This window comes from Homo sapiens, chromosome 12 (genome assembly GCF_000001405.40).
Source record: "Homo sapiens chromosome 12, GRCh38.p14 Primary Assembly".
NCBI classification, from domain to species: domain Eukaryota; kingdom Metazoa; phylum Chordata; class Mammalia; order Primates; family Hominidae; genus Homo; species Homo sapiens.
Window position 1 is genome coordinate 123,085,363 of NC_000012.12, and position 18,073 is coordinate 123,103,435.

General features: G+C 50.7%; 1 protein-coding gene across 29 annotated transcripts in view, besides 10 other annotated features; it reads right to left on the minus strand.

The window, feature by feature from the left end:
- Positions 1-18,073, minus strand: part of PITPNM2 (phosphatidylinositol transfer protein membrane associated 2) — a 168,369-nt gene that overhangs the window by 101,883 nt on the left and 48,413 nt on the right. The window lies entirely within an intron of this gene.
- Positions 380-674: a silencer, noted in NCBI's record as "tiled region #3114; K562 Repressive non-DNase unmatched - State 23:Low". NCBI's record gives its function as "represses a minimal TATA promoter and a strong SV40 promoter by Sharpr-MPRA in K562 cells {active_cell/tissue: K562}" and the evidence as "EXISTENCE:reporter gene assay evidence [ECO:0000049][PMID:27701403]".
- Positions 380-674: an enhancer, noted in NCBI's record as "tiled region #3114; HepG2 Activating DNase matched - State 8:EnhW". NCBI's record gives its function as "activates a minimal TATA promoter and a strong SV40 promoter by Sharpr-MPRA in HepG2 cells {active_cell/tissue: HepG2}" and the evidence as "EXISTENCE:reporter gene assay evidence [ECO:0000049][PMID:27701403]".
- Positions 6,691-6,847: a silencer, noted in NCBI's record as "fragment chr12:123576600-123576756 (GRCh37/hg19 assembly coordinates)". NCBI's record gives its function as "represses an EF-1alpha promoter that drives an FKBP-Casp9 reporter gene in an ReSE screen in K562 erythroleukemia cells {active_cell/tissue: K562}" and the evidence as "EXISTENCE:reporter gene assay evidence [ECO:0000049][PMID:32094911]".
- Positions 6,691-7,284: a biological region, named in NCBI's record as "H3K4me1 hESC enhancer GRCh37_chr12:123576672-123577193".
- Positions 6,763-7,284: an enhancer, noted in NCBI's record as "H3K4me1 hESC enhancer chr12:123576672-123577193 (GRCh37/hg19 assembly coordinates)". NCBI's record gives its function as "activates a minimal SCP1, AML or CMV promoter by ChIP-STARR-seq in naive H9 embryonic stem cells {active_cell/tissue: H9 hESC(naive)}" and the evidence as "EXISTENCE:reporter gene assay evidence [ECO:0000049][PMID:30033119]".
- Positions 7,285-7,805: an enhancer, noted in NCBI's record as "H3K4me1 hESC enhancer chr12:123577194-123577714 (GRCh37/hg19 assembly coordinates)". NCBI's record gives its function as "activates a minimal SCP1, AML or CMV promoter by ChIP-STARR-seq in naive H9 embryonic stem cells {active_cell/tissue: H9 hESC(naive)}" and the evidence as "EXISTENCE:reporter gene assay evidence [ECO:0000049][PMID:30033119]".
- Positions 9,186-9,749: an enhancer, noted in NCBI's record as "H3K4me1 hESC enhancer chr12:123579095-123579658 (GRCh37/hg19 assembly coordinates)". NCBI's record gives its function as "activates a minimal SCP1, AML or CMV promoter by ChIP-STARR-seq in primed H9 embryonic stem cells {active_cell/tissue: H9 hESC(primed)}" and the evidence as "EXISTENCE:reporter gene assay evidence [ECO:0000049][PMID:30033119]".
- Positions 9,340-9,634: an enhancer, noted in NCBI's record as "tiled region #12762; HepG2 Activating DNase unmatched - State 5:Enh". NCBI's record gives its function as "activates a minimal TATA promoter and a strong SV40 promoter by Sharpr-MPRA in HepG2 cells {active_cell/tissue: HepG2}" and the evidence as "EXISTENCE:reporter gene assay evidence [ECO:0000049][PMID:27701403]".
- Positions 9,750-10,313: an enhancer, noted in NCBI's record as "H3K4me1 hESC enhancer chr12:123579659-123580222 (GRCh37/hg19 assembly coordinates)". NCBI's record gives its function as "activates a minimal SCP1, AML or CMV promoter by ChIP-STARR-seq in primed H9 embryonic stem cells {active_cell/tissue: H9 hESC(primed)}" and the evidence as "EXISTENCE:reporter gene assay evidence [ECO:0000049][PMID:30033119]".
- Positions 10,946-11,911: an enhancer, noted in NCBI's record as "H3K4me1 hESC enhancer chr12:123580855-123581820 (GRCh37/hg19 assembly coordinates)". NCBI's record gives its function as "activates a minimal SCP1, AML or CMV promoter by ChIP-STARR-seq in naive H9 embryonic stem cells {active_cell/tissue: H9 hESC(naive)}" and the evidence as "EXISTENCE:reporter gene assay evidence [ECO:0000049][PMID:30033119]".

Genomic DNA, 18,073 nt, shown 5'->3' on the forward strand with positions numbered 1-18,073 from the left:
ACAACACAGACAAACCTCAAAAACATGATGCTGAGCAAAAGAAGCCAGACACAAAAGGCCACATATTGCAAGACTCTGTTCCTATGAAACATCTAGAAGACGCAAATCCATAGAGACAAAGAGTACGGCAGAGGCTACTGGGGGTGAGGAAAAGGGTTGGGAGTTGTTAGTTAATGGGTGCAGTTTCTGTTTGGGATGATAAAAAAAATTCTGGAAATGGATAGGGGTGATGGTTACACACATTCTAAATGTACTTATGCCAATGAACTATACGCATAAAAGTGGTTAACACAGAAAATTTTATGTTATGTATATTTTACCACAATAAAAAAAAATACAAGGAGAAAAAAGCCCACTCTCCAAAATGCAACTTGAAGATACAGGATGGCCAATAACTCCACAGGGACAATGGTGGGACCCTCTGCAAACTGCCCCCAGACAGACTCAATGCTTAAAGCACAGCGCAGAGGCTCACAGGGCCTGTCTTGTCATGTATGAACACCAGGGACCTTCAGAGAAGGGCTCTTTGTGTGAGCCAGCATGACTAAGCCAGGATGCCCTGTCTCCCTGGCGGCCAGCCAGATGCCACAGGGCAGGCAGGGGCTGAGAAGTCTCTGTGGACACCTCCCTGGAAGGCACCTCCTGGTCTCGGCATTCACTGCACCCTTTTCCTGAAATGCACTTCCCGATATTCCGTAACCTGCTTCCTACGTTTATTTAGGTTTTCACAGGGAGGTCCTCTCTGACCATCTACAGTTAGAAAAATACCGGGAAGGTTGCTGGAGCCAGGCAAGGTAGCCGTGAGCAAGAACAGGAAAGCCAGGGCCCCAACACTATGACATGCCAGCACCTTCCTGCTCCCTGGCTACAGAAAAGCAGCTTGCAGGGGGCATCAGGTCCTGGCTCCATCATTTACCAGCTTGGGGGCCTTGGCTAGTTCCTTCAACCCTCTAAACCTCGGTTTTCTCTTCTACAAAATGGGGGTGAAGACAGTGTTTGTCTCTTGGGCTTTTCTGAGGACTACAATGAGATGATGTATAGTAAGTGTTTAGCATATGGCTGGGACATGGTCAAAGGTCGGTAAATGGTAATGATACATGGATTATAATGGAAGTACAACATTAATCCCTTAATGCTGGCCAGGAGGTGTGGGTCAGCGATCCTGAAGACAGGGGAAGGGGCCAGTCGGGCCAGACCACAACCACAACTACTCTTCTCAGCATGTGAATTAACTGATTGAATCTTTTTGTCCCCATGTTGCATATGAGGAAACTGAAGCACAGAGAGGTTAGTGACTTGCCCCAGGACATACAGCCAAGAGGTAGTGGAGCCCCGATTCAAATTCTAGTCATCTGGCTCCAAGCCTGAGCTGGCCACCACTGTTCCATAGGGTATCTCAAGGGAAGTGTGGAAGGAGGCTCTGAGAAGAGTCTCTGGCGTGCAGAGGCAGACCTACAGCCGGCTTGCACAGCTCTGACTTCCGGACATGAGCCTCTGGAAGTCCTAGGGAAAGGTCTCAGAGCAGGTCCCTCAGGGAAGCCCACAGAATGGTTGGACTGGCCTGGTTCTTCTCAGGCCCAAGACCTTGGTACTCAGTTCTGCTCAGCCCAGCCACTGTGATTAGCACCCAAGGGTGCAATTAACTCCTTCAGAACCAAGGCTAGGGCACTAAAGGGAAGAAGTATCTCCATGTTCTGGCTTACGAGGCATTCCTCAGACCCTCAGAGAGCCTGGAGACAACTAGAGACCCAAATCCTTCCAGGGACTAGAAATAGCGGGCCCTGCACACTTATGGGAGACTCTGTGTACCCTGTTGAAGGGCAAGCTGCTTCCAACTCCCTCTCAAAGGGAATGAATTTCCCTCAATGAAACCTTCTTTTTTCTTTTCTTTTCTTTTTTTTTTTGAAACAGCGTCTCACTCTGTCGCCCAGACTGCTGGAGTGCAGTGGCGCGATCTCGACTCACTGGCAACCTCCACCTCCCAGGCTCAAGCAATTCTCCTGCCTCAGCCTCCCGAGTAGCTGGGATTACAGGCGCATGCCACTACCGCCCGGCTAATTTTTTTAGTAGAGACGGGGTTTCGCTATGTTGGCCAGGCTCCTGACCTCAAATGATCTACCCACCTTGGCCTCCCAAAGTGCTGGGATTATAGGCATGAGCCACCGTACCTAGCCCTCAATGCAACTTTCTAAAAAATGCCTACTACAAATCTCTTAACTAATGACTCTCTTAGGCTGCTGCAATACAGAATTTCTTTTTTTTCTTTTTTTTTTAGAGACAGGGTCTCGCTCTGTCACCCAGGCTGGAGTGCAATGGCACAATCACAGCTCACTGGAGCCTCAAACTCCTGGGCTCAGGCAATCCTCCCACCTCAGCCTCCCAAGTAGTTGGGATTACAAGTGTGCACCACCATCCCTGGGCAATTTTAAAATTTTTTGCAGAGACAGGGTCTCGCTATGTTGCCTAGGCTGGGCTCAAACTGCTAGACTCAAGCAATCCTCTGGCCTTGGCCTCCCACAGTGCCGGGAGCTACCACGCCCAGCCAGCAATACAGAATTTCTAACTAGTCTCCCTCCTTTTCACTCCAGCCTCTACAAGGTGGCCCAAGTGAGCATGTTAAAATAAAAACACAAATGAGATTATGCTACTCTCTACCTCAGAATCCTCCAAGAACTCTGTTCACACTTCGTGTCGAGTCCAGCGTCTTTACCATGACCTGCAAGTCCTCCAAGGTCGTGCCCCTGACTCTCCATCATTTCCTACCACGTTTCTTCTCTTGTTCTGTTCCAACCACCCTGCCTTCCTTGCTTGCCTCAAACTTGCCAGGACACTTCAACCTCAGGGTCTTTGCACCTGCTATTTCCTCTTTCCCAGATATTACATGACTTGCTTTCTAAATTTATTTAAGTTTCTACAAAGAGGTCCTTTCTGACCATCCTATCCAAGCTCCCGCCCCCCGCCACCCCACACCTCTCTCTTCCCTCCCCTTGCTTACTTTTCTTCCTGGCATTTAGCACCACCAAAGAGCATATTTTAGGAAGGAATTTCATTTGGCTCACTGATGAATCTGTGCTTAGAACAACACCTGGCACATGAGTGGTGTTCAAAACCTCTGTTGATGGCTTTAGAAGTGAGAATGATGGGTGGAAGGTAGCGACTGGAAGTGGAGGGGTGTGGGGGTGGCAGGAGGGTGGTGTGGGGCTTTTGAGAATTGGTGAAAGAAGAAAAAGCTTGAATAAATGAACAGAAATAAGTTAAAATGATAATCAAAGATCTTCCCTGCTCCCCGCAAAATATCCCCAGGCCCAGAGAGTTTTATAGCTGATGTTAGCAAACTTTCGAGAAGTTCAGAAAAAAAGTTTACTCTTTGTTGGGGGGAGAGGGACAAATAAAACAAAAAACAGGCACATCTTCATGAACAAGATGCCATCTGAGTAGGCCCTAAAGTAAGATTTGAAGCCACGACAGCAACAACTTGGAATCCCCCAGGGAACCTTGTGTATGTCTCCTTTGCACTCATGTTGCTGCCTCCAGAAATGCCCTTCTCCACCTTGCCTCTGGTCTCAGCCCTCTGTCCCCCTTACTAAACCTGCTCTATCACTCTGGACATCCAAGCACACAGTGAGCACTGCATAAATGTTAGCTGCTGTTGGGCTTACTTGCTTACATGTCCGAGTCCCCGGCTAATTTGTATCCCCAGTGCCTGACACCATAGCAGGTATACAAAAAATGATAGAGGAATGAACAAGGCACACAAAAAGCCTAGCAAAAGCTACATATTTACTCTAAAAAAAGCTTTCGGGCACAGCTGCTGTAGGCATGCAAACCAAGGCATCCAGGCTGCGCAGCCCCGAACCCACCCTCAAACTCTTGGCCTCGTGAAATTAGGCAACAGGGGCCCTAGGTGAGCCAGAGGGCACTGAACTTTGCCTCAAAATTAGCGCTTCCTGATATGAGCAAGGAGGTGACAGCAGCCAGAAATCGCTACCCTCCCTGCACCCAATGAAGCTGATAGAAAGCTCTGGGTCACTCAAGGCTCTAAAATGTAACATTTGTCTGGCTGTTTACTTCCCCTTTATGCAGCTCAACTACTTAGATCCTTCTTCCTACTAGTGGGAGATGGATCCCAGTGGTGAGAAAAAAGCAAACCAAGTCCTAGAGTCTCAGGGGTCTTTAAAGCTGATCCGAGGGAAGACAAAGATGAATAAAGATGGAGGAGGAAGAGAACAGAATTTTTCCTCCCATACTCACACAAAAAAGATCTCGAATACCCATGCTTCATCCCCAACTATCACTACTCATGCAAACAAAGCCAGAGAAACCCCTGGATTAGCTACTGCTCTAAGAACTGACTGTGTCTTTCTCCCTCATCCATCAATCCCCTATCAGCCTTCAAACTCAGGTCAAAATTCCATGGAGCAGGAAAGCAGGTAAGACCTGGATTCTGAGTGTGACAAACCACCATCCTCTGTGAAAAGGCCTTGCTGTGAGCCAACAAGACCACAAGCATGAGTCAGAGCCAACAAATGGACATCTTTTGCAGCCAGTAGAGAGACAGTGAGCTTTGCCCATGAACAAAGATGACTCAGTGGAGCCGCAGAAAGGAAATCAACATTTATGGAGTATTATTCTTGGAGTTATCTACAGCTGTATAACAAATTAACCCAAAACTTAGTTTAAAACAAGAAAAATTTATTATTTCATGCTGCTTCTGTGGATCAGGAAGCTGAGAGTGGCTTGGCTGAGTGTTTCAGGGTCTTCCATGGGGTCACAGTCAAGATGTTGACCAGGGCTGCAGTCATCTGAAGGTTTGGCTGAGGCTGATAGAGTCATTTCTAAGTCAACTCATGTACGTGACTGATAAGTTAGTACATGGTTTTTGGCAAGAGGTCTGTCTCACTTCCTCACCACATTTCTGAACCTTTCCAGAGAGCTTGAGTGTCCTCACAAGATGGTGGCTGGTTTCCCAGAGAAAGTGATCCAAGAGAAAGGACAGCAGAAACCACATTTTCTTTGTTTAGAGACAGAGTCTCTGCCACCCAGCTGGAGTGCAGTGGCACAATCTCGGCTCACTGAAACCTCCACCTCTCAGGTTCAAGTGATTCTCCTGGCTCAGCCTCCCAAGTATCTGGGACTACAGGCACAGGTGCCAACACACCTGGCTAAATTTTTTTTTTTTTTTGTATTTTTAGTAGAGATAGGTTTTCACCATGCTGGCCAGGCTGGTCTAGAACTCCTGACCTCAAGTGATCCACTTGGCTCGGCCTCCCAAAGTGCTGGGATTACAGGCGTGAGCCACCACGCCCAGCCCACGCTGTCTTTTATGGGGCCTTGGAATTCACAATCTGTCATTTCCAACACCCTATAAGATACACAGGTAGCCCGATTCAGTATGGGAAGGGACTTCACAGGGGTATGACTATGGGGATGGGAGACTGAAGCCAGCCTGGAGGTGGCCGGCACAGCCACATTGTGGTCTTCCTAACCCTTGATGTAGACCATCTCCTTTCAACCTCAAGACAGCCCTTGAAGGCAGGCATTTTCATTTTACAGACATAGGTTCCTGCGTACCCGCACTGACCTGAGCCTCTTGTCCAGCCTCCTTGGGGCAGAGAGAACGAATTGGTGGTGAGCCATGTAGTGAGAATATAGTTGCAGGAATCCAGGAGGAAGGAGGCTCAGGAAAAGTGGTGCAGGATTCAGCCACTCACACGGTTACCACCTTGCTACCAGGGCCAGGCCACCCAGCCACTGGTGGCCTTACAGAAACAGCAAGGAGCATCTGCTCTCTCGGTTCTGCCACCTTGCCCCTCCCGAGGTGCCTGGCTTCACAGCAGGATTGCCGTCCTGCAGCCAGTTCATTAGGTGGCCCCCTGTGCAAGGTGCCTAAGCGATCTGTGGCTGCAGGTGCCACCTCATGGGGTTCGCAATTTATAGTCACTCAGAGGCAGAGGACACAGGTGAAGAAGGCGTCAGTCCCACCAGCTACCAAAGCTGCCTTGTCTCGCAGGAAAACATGACTGAGGCTTATCAATTTCCCCCATTTCATTCTCACCACCACTGACAGGGAAGAAGAACTGATTAAGTCCATAAATCTAATTTCTCCACCTAGGGCTGGATGGTTCTCAAGGACGGTTATTCCTCCTCTGCACAGGCCTGGGGTGGGGGTGCTGAGTGAGGGTCATGGAATTGAGACAGAAGTTGGTATCACCACCCCCAGGACCAAATCCATTTCCCTATGGCACAAAGGCAGAGAGGTGCATTTGAGCACTACAAGCACTAGGGTCAGCTTTGCTGATATTTTGGAAGAGGCAATGACATTATGACTCCCAGATGGGCCACACTGATACACACTGGAAAGCACCTTCCCGCTGTCACCCAGAGCATATAGGAGCCTGGCCTGAGTTTCTACACAGAATATGTGTAGAAACACATTTTTGGGCTGCCTCATGATATAGAGAAGACCTTGGCCTTGGAGAATCAGAGCTGTCCTGATCCATTTCCAAGCTGTGAGACCTCCTTGCACCCTGAGTCCTCATCTCTCACCCTGCCTTGTGGGGCTGATTCAAGGGGGAAGTGGTATGATGTGCACAGAGGCCCCAGCACAGCACTCACCAGGGGGAAGAGAGTCAACACTGAGCTGTTTCTCCATTCTTCCTTGCCCTCTTGCTTTGTTTTGAAAACTGAGGGATCCCTGGAGTAAGGTGGCCCAGCAGAGAAATCCCCCAAAGAGCGTTCTGCACCTACACACTGGAGTGGGTACGACAGGCCCCACTTGGATGCTACAGACTGTTTCCTGCAACCCCTGGGTCCAGCCTTGGGCCCAAGAACCAAGGATTGGCTCTGGGGTGGCCCAGCAGAAAGCTGAGCAGGGCAGTTAATTTTAATAAAAGGACTCCAGTCTGGCACCATGGCTCACGCCTGTAATCCCAACACTTTGGGAGGCCCAGGCAGGAGGATGGCTTGAGGCCGAGTATGAGACCAGCCTAGGCAACATAGTGAAACCTTATCTCTATTTTTTCAAAACAAACAAAAAGGACTCCATCCTCTGGAAAGCATTGCCACACTGCAGCCTCAAACAGGATTACTAAATCGCTGTTTGAAAAGACAAAGCAAGATTAAACAAATACTTAACTGCCCTCATCCTCATCCCAGGTCTGTCATCAGTCAGGCTAATCTAGTCTTGCTGGGTTCCCAGATCGGCCCAAAAGGCTCCTCAAGGCTTTATCTTCTCCTCAAAGCAGGGCCTCAGGCCAGACATGGCTGGCTCCCCAGGTTCGGCCTGCGGACCTGCGGCCTCCTCTAGCAGAGCCACCTCTGCCTTTGCCATGCCCTCTCCTAACCCATCCTAGGTCTCCGAAAGAGTGAGGAAAAACTGCCAGAAAACTGGAAATAAATCCTCTCCTTCCTGATCTCTGCAACTCCTTCTCCCTCTCAGTGGCTGCTCAAAGGAAGGACATTGCCTCCCTACCTCGACCTCTCCCCCGAGCCCCTGGAGCCCCTCTGGGAAGCTACAGTTTATGCCGCTTACAGTCACTTCTGTATTGTCCTCTGACCCCCTCGCCAACTGAGAACTGTGTTTGAGATGTAAAAGCACCCTTTAAAAATGCACTTGTGATCCATGGATGTGTGGATTGACAAAATGTGGTCTTATACACACAGTGGAAGATGATTGCACCATGAGAAGGAATGAAGCTCAGATGCATGCTCCTACATGAACTTGAAATCATGATGCTCAGTGGAAGAAACCAGACACAAAATGCCACATGGTGTGTCACTCCGTTCATAAGAAATGTCCATGATAGGCAAATCCAGAGATAGAAAGTAGATTAGTGGTTGCCAGGGGCTGGGGGTTTGGGGACAAATGAGGGATAACATCCATCGAGGAGCTCATTTTTGGTGTGATGAAAATGTTTTTTTAAAAAAACCTTTATTTATTTTTACACATTGTAAGAGAATAGAAGAAAATGTTCTAAAATTAACTGTGGTGTTCATTATACAACTCTGTGAACATACTAGAAACCATTGAATTGTACACTTTCAATGGGTGAATTGTATGGTATGTGAACTATATCTCAATAGAGCTGTTATTTAAAAATACACACACGCACACACACACACGCGCACACACACACACACCTTGAAATAATCATCTGTAATCAACAGAGTCTGGCCGCTGCAGTGGAGCCACCCCCTGCTCCTGAGCCCCTTCCTCCTGCCACTCGGCAGCCCCTCCAGAGCCAACCTCCCACTCCCCTCAACCTGAAGTACTGACTCTGGGGGCCAGCCCTGGGAGGGAGAACAAGCAAAAGATTCAGCCCCTATCCCAAACTCTGAGGATGGAGCTAGAGGCCACAGAAGACAGGCTGTTGCAGCCCAGGAGAGACTGCTCTTCCATGGCTTTAATACCTCCAACCCTGAGACCAGAAGCCACAAGACACCAACATTCAGTTGGTTTGTGAATGACTGTGAGGAACCTGGAGTCTATGGAAGGACACAGAGCCAGGAGGCCTGGGCCAGAGCCCAACACCACCAGAACCCCCTGGGCAGAGGCATCCCCACCCACACTCTTAGGATCAGCCCCCTCATCTCAGGGACAAAGCTGGGGATCCCAGTGAGAGGCCCCTCAGGCTGGGCTCGGAGGCTGCGGCTGGCCCAGTGCAGCAGGCCTGGGGATGCTATGTGGCTGTGAGAAAGGCCTGGTTAGGGGCCACATGGACACAAAGCATCGTCAAACACTCCAGGTGTCACTGGGCCATGGCAGCTGCTTCTCTTGTGGCACTGCTGGCTTGGCCAACAGAGCCAGGTGACACATTTCAGGAATACTTGTCTTATTTGAGCCTCACCAGTACAGGGCTGGCTGTAGACTTAAAAGGGGCTGACCAAGGTGACAGGTCTGCCAGCCAGAGGAATGGAACTCAAGTGGTGCAGGGGATCCCAGAACACCAGGAAGCCAGTCCAAGGCTCTCAGAGAGCTCAGGCAGGCTCCTGGGAGGTGACTCCGGCTGACCTCGGAAAGGCCCCATGTCTTCACCCAGCAGGCTGAAGCGGAGCCCAGCCAAGGCCTGTGATCCTGTGCTTCCTGCCAGGCTTGTCCTCCGGCGCATCAGGCTCACCCACAATGCCATGGAAGTCTCCATCATCTGCTCTGCCCCAGGAAAGCGGACTTAGTCCTCTGGGGACGTTACCCAAATAGCTGCCTCCAACTCTGGCCATAAAGCCAGGAACTTGGGAAGCTGGTAATTGGAGAAACTCTTCTCCTCCCCCACAGGACCATAAATTACCGTCCTCCATCTGCACAGATGCATCAAAGGCCCAGACAGCCTTCTCCGAAACCAAGCACAGGCAGTGGGGTGGGGTCCCTCCACCTCCTAGAAGCAGCTCCCAGGTGGGGCCGAGGGCAGGGAAGGCCAGGTTCCCATCTAAGAATCGAAGGCCTTGGACTGACCGACCTCCTGGCTCTGACCCCACGTCTGACTCATAGTTGGGAACAAACATCACATCTACCCCCAGGGCAAGACTGCAGCCACACAACCTCTCCTTTCTTCACTCTATTTATCAGTACACCCTCGCAGAACCACAGACACGTGAAAATATTTATATGATCAGATTAACTTCTGGGCTTCGTGGCGCACTGAAGCAAGCATGTTTATCCTTCCCTCATACAACACTTTTTCTTTGGTCACTTCTTTTTCGGGGCACTGGGGCTCACAGCACGGCAGTGCGTCCACATTAGGGTGGCTGCTGGGGATCCAAGACTCTCCACTCCACCATCCTTGCACAGCAGGCTGATTCAGGGCTTGGAACGTGGTGAGGGGGCCCAGGGGAATGGGCTGCTCCCCTGGGGAGTCGGTTATCTCTGCTCCAGACCCTGGCTTTTGGCAGTAGCCAAGCTTGCTGGACAGTCGCCCCTGTGGTGACAGGGAGAGCTAAGCAAATCAGAACCGATGGCCCTGTGCTGGGCACAGATCCCGCTTGGCAGCCCCTGCTGACGATTGCTCTGCGCTGCCATCTTTAGAAACAATCATTTCTTGGGCGTGCACCCACATGTGTACATCTCGATTTTACAGGCTCTGTTAAAGCGCAAAGATCTTTCAGGTACTCAACAAAGCAAGATGTCGTGATGTTGCCACCAGCCTGCCCCCTCCTCCCCCCGCCTCCGACCTGTCACCCAGATGAAGTGAGACGAAGTGTCTTCCAATACACACATCGGAGTGTGTCACTTCTCTGAGTAAAGGCCCTCAACGCTCCCCTTGGGTTTCAAGGCGACATCTAAGCTCCTTAACTAGGGCACGAGGCCCCCAACCTGGTCCTCCCTGCAGCTCAGCCCCAGCCAGACTCTCACAGACAGGAGCCCATGGGGCTCCTCCTGCCTCGGGGCCATTGTGAAGGCGGTTCCCTCTACCAGGAAGACTCTCCCTTGTTTACACGCAACCCTGCCTCCTGTGTCGTGTGAACTCAGCACCCCACAGGATCTAAACCAAGCGTCAGCACCTGAGGCTCCCTTCATGGGCTCCACGCCCCAGTGGCAGACCCCCCCAACCCCACTTCCACAAGGCTTGGCACTATCGTAAGGATCATCACCGCCCATGACTGATGCCTGTGATGGCCTGAGAGCTCCTTGAGAGTGGGGGCTGGAATTGATTCACTTCTGCAGCCCTGTAGCTCAGAGCCCACACTCAGGGCTGAATGATGGATCCATACACATGTCGCCTGCTCAGGGAGCCAAAGTGGCCCCGTGGCTTGTCCCCTGAAGCCCTAAAGCACCAGGAATACATTGGGAATTGGGACAGGGGGACAGACCCCTCCTTTGAGGGACTAGCCCCGCTCCCATGTGATGGCAGCTCAATCTCCATCTGTAGCCAGCAAGCACACCCAGGCACCATTTATTTACGCAATATTAACACATGCCCTGCTTGCATGCCCCAGCTCTTGGCCCTGGTTAAATGAGGCCACAGAAGAGGAATGGGCTCGCGGGAAGCCACTTCCCATGATTGGTGACTGCACAGCAACCATATTTTATTCACGGTGAGTTCCTGGGATTCTTGCCAGCTTACCGACTTCAATCCTTTTCCATGAAAAGTGTGTCTTGGGCATGCGTTCTGTTCCTCACCCAATGCCAGAATCTGCTTCTAGCTAGGAAGAGGCAGTGGGAAGATGGGGAGGGGGGCGAGGAATGAGAGAGAACCCAAAAGGACATGGAGAAGGAAGAAAGAGGGAGGAAGGTGTGAGGAAGGAGCAGAGAGGAACAGGGAAGGAGACAGCCACAGGCCCGGGGGCATCTGGAATCCCTCCCCCTGCACCACTAGCCTAAACAAGGGTCCCAACACCAGCCAGCCTGGGCTGAGCAGTGAGGACCTGGAACCAGAAGACAAAGCTGTACTCTTGTCAAGAGGAGGGATCCAGGCAGGGCAGAAGCAGAAAAAAGACACAGGAAGGTGGCTTGTGGAAGTCAGGAGCCACCCAGCAGGATGGCAGGCTGGCCATAGAATCCTCCAGGCCCAGCAGGTCTCCCCGGCCCCTCTGCAGCAAAAACGAGGCCCAGGGAAGCTAGAGGAACTAAAGGATGCTGGACTGGTGCCACTGTGCTTAGTGCAACACAGCTGTCCCCAGGACTCCCCAGAGTGGGGCCACCCTGCCATCTCTCTTTATTTTTATTATTATTTATTTATTTATTTATTTTTAATTTATTTTTTTGGTATGGAGTCTCGCTCTTGTCGCCCAGGTTTGAGTGCAGTGGCACGATCTTGGCTTGCTGCAACCTCTTCCTCCTGGGTTCAAGTGATTCTCCTGCCTCAGCCTCCTGAGTAGCTGGGATTACAGGCGCCCACCACCACGCCCAGCTAATTTTTGTACTTTTAGTAGAGACGGGGTTTTGCCATGTTGGCCAGGCTGGTCTCGAACTCCTGACCTCAGGTGATCCACCTGCCTTGGCCTCCCAAAGTGCTGGGATTACAGGCATGAGCCACCGCGCCCGGCCTGCCATCTCCCTTTTATTAGTGATTGCAAAGTGCTAAGGGGGAAAGACTTTCAGCAGCCCACTTTTCTGCACAGTCCTCAAGAGGCCAGCACCTCCTTTCCTCTCCTTGGCAGACCCTCCCTCGCTCCTCTACCCTCGACCCCACAGGCACAAGTGAGCTGTGGCTGGGAGTCAGGAAGGGAGATTGTCTTTCTTAAGGCACGCACATGCTCAGCAGTGATGGCATGGATGGGGAGGGGTTCCAGCAGACTTATTTATAGCCAAGCAGCCTGTCCGCACGCTCTCCAGTGCAGCCTGCCTCACTTGCCTGCCTGCCTGCCTTCCTTGCCTGCCTGTCTGCCTTCCACTGGGGTTTTTCAATCTGTGCCTATATTTATCGCCCAAAGCCGCTGGGATAATGGCAAGGCCAGAAATAGCCTTGAAGACATTCACGTGAAGATGACGGGCAGGTCCCCAGCTCCTGGGCTGACCTCGCCCCTACATCTGCCACTTGGCAGTGGGTATGAGGAACAGCTGGACAGAGCTCGGAAAGCGGCTGCAGCCAGATGGGAACAACATAATCCTCCTTTCTCTGCTGGCCTTGGCCCTCTGTAGTGATGCAGGGGACATGTCGAAAATGATACATCACAGCCGCCAGGCCACAGGGAGACCAAAGGTGACAGAGATTCCTGACGTCAGTGTGCTAATCAGAGCAGACAGTCCAGAGAAAGAGAGAAGAATCAAAGGCAGCAGCACAGCCTCACAGAAAGCAGGTCACCCCCAGCACCCAGGTTGCAGGGAGATGCTCTCCTGCCTGGCTTCTTGCACCTGTACAACGGAATCATGGGCCCATTTCCCATTTCTGTCCTCTGGGATGAGCGCTGGCCCACAGGCTCTGGGAGATGCTCTCAAGGGAACAAGGATTTGGGTCCTAAAGAGGCCTGGAATGGGTTGGGGCTCATGGGAGGAGGAAGAAGGTGCCAGATGTAAGTCAGGACCAGGACGGGGAGCTAGACATCTAGGCAGGATGGAGGGTGTCAGGGACCACCAGCCAGAGCCCTATCATAGGAGGGCAGCAGTACGAGATAAGAAACATGTGCAGGCCAGGCACAGTGGCTCAAACCTGTAATCCCAGCACTTTGGGAAACTGTGGGAGGATCACATGAGTTCAGGAGTTCAAGACCAGGCTGGGCAACATAGTAAGACTCTGTCTCTACAAAAAGAGAACAATTTTTTTTAATTAGCCAGGCATGGTGGCCTGCATCTATAGTCCCAGCTACTCCAGAGGCATAGGCAGGAGGATTGCTTGAGCCCAGGAGTTCAAGGCTGCAGTCAGCTAATATGCAAATGGAGAAGAGGAAGCGCCTCCTAATTAGAAGCAAACAAACAGATGCCACAGAGACAGCCACAAGGTTGGCGAGTGAGTCCCCCGAATCCCACGGGCTCCCAAGTGTCCACTCCTGAGAGCTGAGCTCAGGGGCCGGCTTCCTTCCCAGCCCAATCTCCATCCTGCCAGCCTTTGTCTCTGTACTTCAAGAACCTGAAACTTCTCAGCACTCCCCAAAGATACCATGCACTTTGAGTACTGAAGGCTCATTCTGGTCCGTCTGCCTTTCCCCCTTTACTCCTGATAAACTCCTCCATATCCTTCAAAGCCCATTTGAAATGCTCCCTCTTGTATGAAATCTTCTCCATCAGATGTCAGCTGCTGCCTTCTCTCTGCTCTAGCTGCACTCTGTGCCTCCCTTCTGTGCATGTGCTATGCATTCTAACATGTGTCTATACCCCCATCCCAGGGGCTGAGTTCCCCTTCCTCACTGGATCTCTGATTCAGTGGGCACAGCAAGCACCTGCCAGATAAGGGAGGCAACTGATTCCCTCCTTCACGCTCACCCAGAACTGTCGATTTTGCTGAAAAAAAAAATATATATCTTTTTTTTTAAAGAATGAAACCTCATACCAGGACTCCCTTTGGAGATGAGGGCAAAGGCAAGTCTGGCTCTCTGAATCTGCCTCCCTATGTTCCTCGGAGAACACCCAGCACAGCAAGATTGGGAAGCTACTGTTCTGCCAGGGCTTGACTGGCGGGACAAGTGGGATACTCCTCTACAGAGAGGGAGGAGGCCCACCTTTGTGCCTGTGGGCTGACGAAGCCCTGGGGGCTCTGGGCCCTACCTGCAGCACTGGCAGACTTCCCACAAGCTCCTGGTCTGAACATCATCTCCTTCCACATGGCCGATCATAGAGCAGGAGCCCAGTGCAGAGGAAAACTAGGCATGTAGCTAAGGGCTGGGTTAACCTTCTCTGTGCTACTGTTTTTTTAATGACCCAAACAGCTCCTGGCTCCTGGATGCCTGGCTCCAGGTCCCACTGTGTGCCTGGGTTCAGATGCCTATCCATGCTGGCACTGTTCCAAGTCCCACCTACAGCCTCTCAGATCCCACAGCTGGCGCACTATCCTTAGGAAGCCCCTCCAGCTGAGGAGAGAGATGCACAGATGTGCCAGGCACTGACAGCCTGGGAGGCCTATTCCCAGGGGCAATCAGAAGACTAGAAAGCACTGAAAGAGGCAGTGCCCTGTAAGGACAGCTCTACATCCACAGAAAACACCACTAACAGAGCACCCAGGTGTGCAGGCATCCATGCCCGGGGGAAGTAAGAATTGCAGGTGACACGCGCACAGCCTACTCCGCAGACACCTACTCCTTTCTTCCACATGACCATATGCAGTAAGGACTAATAAGGTCTGCATTTCACAGAAGAAGAAACTGAGGTGCAGTGAGTTGAGGGGACTTGCCCAAGGTGTCCCAGGCAGTTAGGTTCTGGAACCTGCATTAACCACACTATACAATTCTCCATGCAGATAAAACAATGTGCAACGTAAAATGCTGCAGCCTCTCTGGAAAACAGTCTGGCAATTCCTCAAATATGCTGAACACAGAGTTACCATATGACCCAGCAATTCCACTTGTAGGCATGTGCACAAGAGAAATGAAACATGTTCAATAAAAACTTGTACACAAGCTGGGCATGGTGGCTCATGCCTGTAATCCCAGCACTTTGGGAGGCCAAGGCGGGTGGATCACCTGAGGTCAGGAGATCGAGACCAGCCTGACCAACATGGTGAAACCCCGTCTCTACTAAAAATACAAAAATTAATTGGACGTGGTAGTGGACGTCTATAATCCCAGCTACTCAGGAGGCTAAGGCAGCAGAATCACTTGAGCCTGGTAGGCGGAAGTTGTAGTGAGCTGAGATTGCACCACTGCACTCCAGGCTGGGCAACAGAGCAAGACTCCGTCTCCAAAAAAAAAAAAAAATCATGCAGCACTGACATATGGTACAGCACGGATGAACCATGAAAACATGATGCTGAGTGAAAGAAGCCAGACACAGACGCAAAAGACCATATCATCTTATGACTCCATTCATATGAAATGTCCGGAAAAGGCATTAGCCATTCTTCTTCTCTATGAGAAAAGACTGAGACCCAGTCAGACTCACCTGAGGCAGGAACAGTATCTAACGCCACCCCTTCCACTGTGTTTCTATAACTCCATATAACGTCTATAACTCCCTGGTTCCAGAAGCCTTTCCTGACTTCACATACGAAGGAACTGATCATTCCACGTGCCCCATTCCCCACACATACCCCACACTGACATTGATCAGAGAGCTCTGCCAGCCAGGTGCATGGCCACCTTTCCCAGGCAGCTGCAAGTGCCAGGAGCCACTCCTATTTGTTTTAGGGAAGGAACATTCTTTATTGAGCACCTAATAAGTGCCTGACACAGTGCACAGGCACTCTGTACTGGTTTTCTTATTTGTTTTCTTTCCTTTGGTCAAAGTTTTTTCAAACCTAGGCCATTTTGGGGAGATGCTTTAATGCTTCAAAAACACACACTTATGACCTCAAATATCCCCTTGCAGTGGGACATAGCATGGGCTGACCCTGGGCCAACCTGTGATGCAGGACAAGGTCCCTCCTGCCGAGATGCCACCTCCCCACTCCTCTCTCACTGTCATCAACTTGCCCTGCTTCTTGTTTCTATTAATAAACATATCCACAGCGAAGTATCAAAGAGTGAATGCAACATGTTTCCCAAGAGTATTTATCATTTGAATGAAAACTAGAAAGACGGCAATGCTTGACTAAAAGGAATAAGGGACCAATAGTAAAATTTCAGGCACTGGAGGGATAATGAAGAAATGGTTCTCCTTCCCAAGCCCCTCAAAGCACAAACCTTATTTATTTTTACGTCCAGCACATAGTGCAGCTCAGGCACACAGACGGTACTTAGTAAATGTTCGTCATGTGTTAAGTGGCCTACTTAAGGCCACTCCTCCCATCTGGGAACCAGCCCCCTAGAAAGCTGTAGTGCAAGCTCCATGGGGACAAACCATCAAGTTCCCTTTTCTTGGGGGTGGTGGAGTGAGTTCTAAAACCCACCACCAGTCCGGCATGGTGGCTCATGCCTGTAATTCCAGCACTTTGAGAGGCCAAGATGGGAGGATCACTTGAGGAAAGGAGTTTGAGACCAGCCCAGGCAACATAGCGAGATCCCATCTCTACATAAAATTAAAAAATTAGCTGGGTGTGGTGTGCGTCTGTGACATGCAAGTTCGAGACTGCAGTGAGCTAAGATTGTACCACCGTACTCCAGCCTGGGTGACAGAGTGATCTTGTCTCTAAAAAACAAATTCTTAAAAATAATAGTGCCCACCACTAATTTGTAGGCACAACCTAGACACAGCACTCAACCTCAGTTGTCACAGAACTCTGCCTACACCTGAGAATTGCCACAGAAATGCAAGGAAGTCCCCAGCAAGGTGTGTTAGAGTGCTGCATCCCAGAGCAGGAGGGAGAAGGCTGGGGAGAGGAAGGAAAGTGCTGAACAACATGTGCTGTGGGGGAAGATGCTGCCCTGAGCTACTTAAGGGCAGAGAGCTTGCCTCCAGCTTCCTTACTGTCTCCGCATCCTCGTCCAGCCTCAGAAGAAAACACTAAGAAGTGGCCTTCTGCAAGGACATGCCCACCAGAGCAAAGGGCAGTTGAGAATGGTCTCCTGGGGCAGCCCATACACCAATCAATGGAAGTAATTTCCAAGTTGTCATTCCTCAACAATACATTTACTGTGATGGGGACGATGAAGTTAAAAAACTGAAAGAAAAAGCAAACTGGATTTCCCTCCCCTTTGGCCTATAGATTCAGCTCCTCCCAAGACAGCAAAAGCAACATCTTTTCCTCCCATCCCCCACAGGCAGCCCTCATACTGAGGAGTGTAAAGACGACAACTGATTCTTCCCATGCTGAGCTGGGAACTTCACAGGTCTCATTCTGAATCCCACTAGCCACAGGAAACCTTAAAGCTTGTCATTAGAGCAGCCTTGCACACTAAAAAAGAAAAATACCAGCTTTCTTCACAGAGAAGCACATGGAAGTCACTCGATGCAATGAGAGGACACCCCACAGTGATCAACCTAAGTGTATGGGTCCTGGAGGTTTAAGGGAAACCTGTTCTTGGTGACACAGTTACCTGTAGGGCTGTCAGATCTCAGCCCCCACCAACCTTCCTTGCCCGTTGTATTCCAAGGGACTGAATCATGAATTTGTTTATTTAGAGACAGGTCTCACTCAGTCGCCCAGGCTGGAGTGCAATGGTGTAATCATAGCTCACTGCAGCCTTGACCTCCTGGCCTAAAGCAATCCTCCCACCTCAGCCTCCTGAGTAGCTGGGACTACAGGTACATACCACCACACCAGGCTAACTGAATCATGGGTTTAAACAAACCACCTTGGTAGACACAAGGCCTCTGGTTTGTGTTCCCTGGGGCATCTGGTGGCAGGAGAAGTTGTTTTAGTGACTGTCCTTACAGTGATGATCCCTGATCTTGGCCATTTCCCTGCATATGCCTCTAACATGAACCTATGACCCTGATGATACAGGCTCCCTGGGTTTGCTCGTCTGTCTCCCTTGAACTGTTAGCTCCTTGACAGCAAGACTCTCTTATTTGTTCGGGCCTGACACTCCATGGAGGCTCAGCATGAGCCAAGTGAATAATGCACAGGAGCACTGACTTTGATCTGCCCAAGGCCTGACATCGTCAAGACTG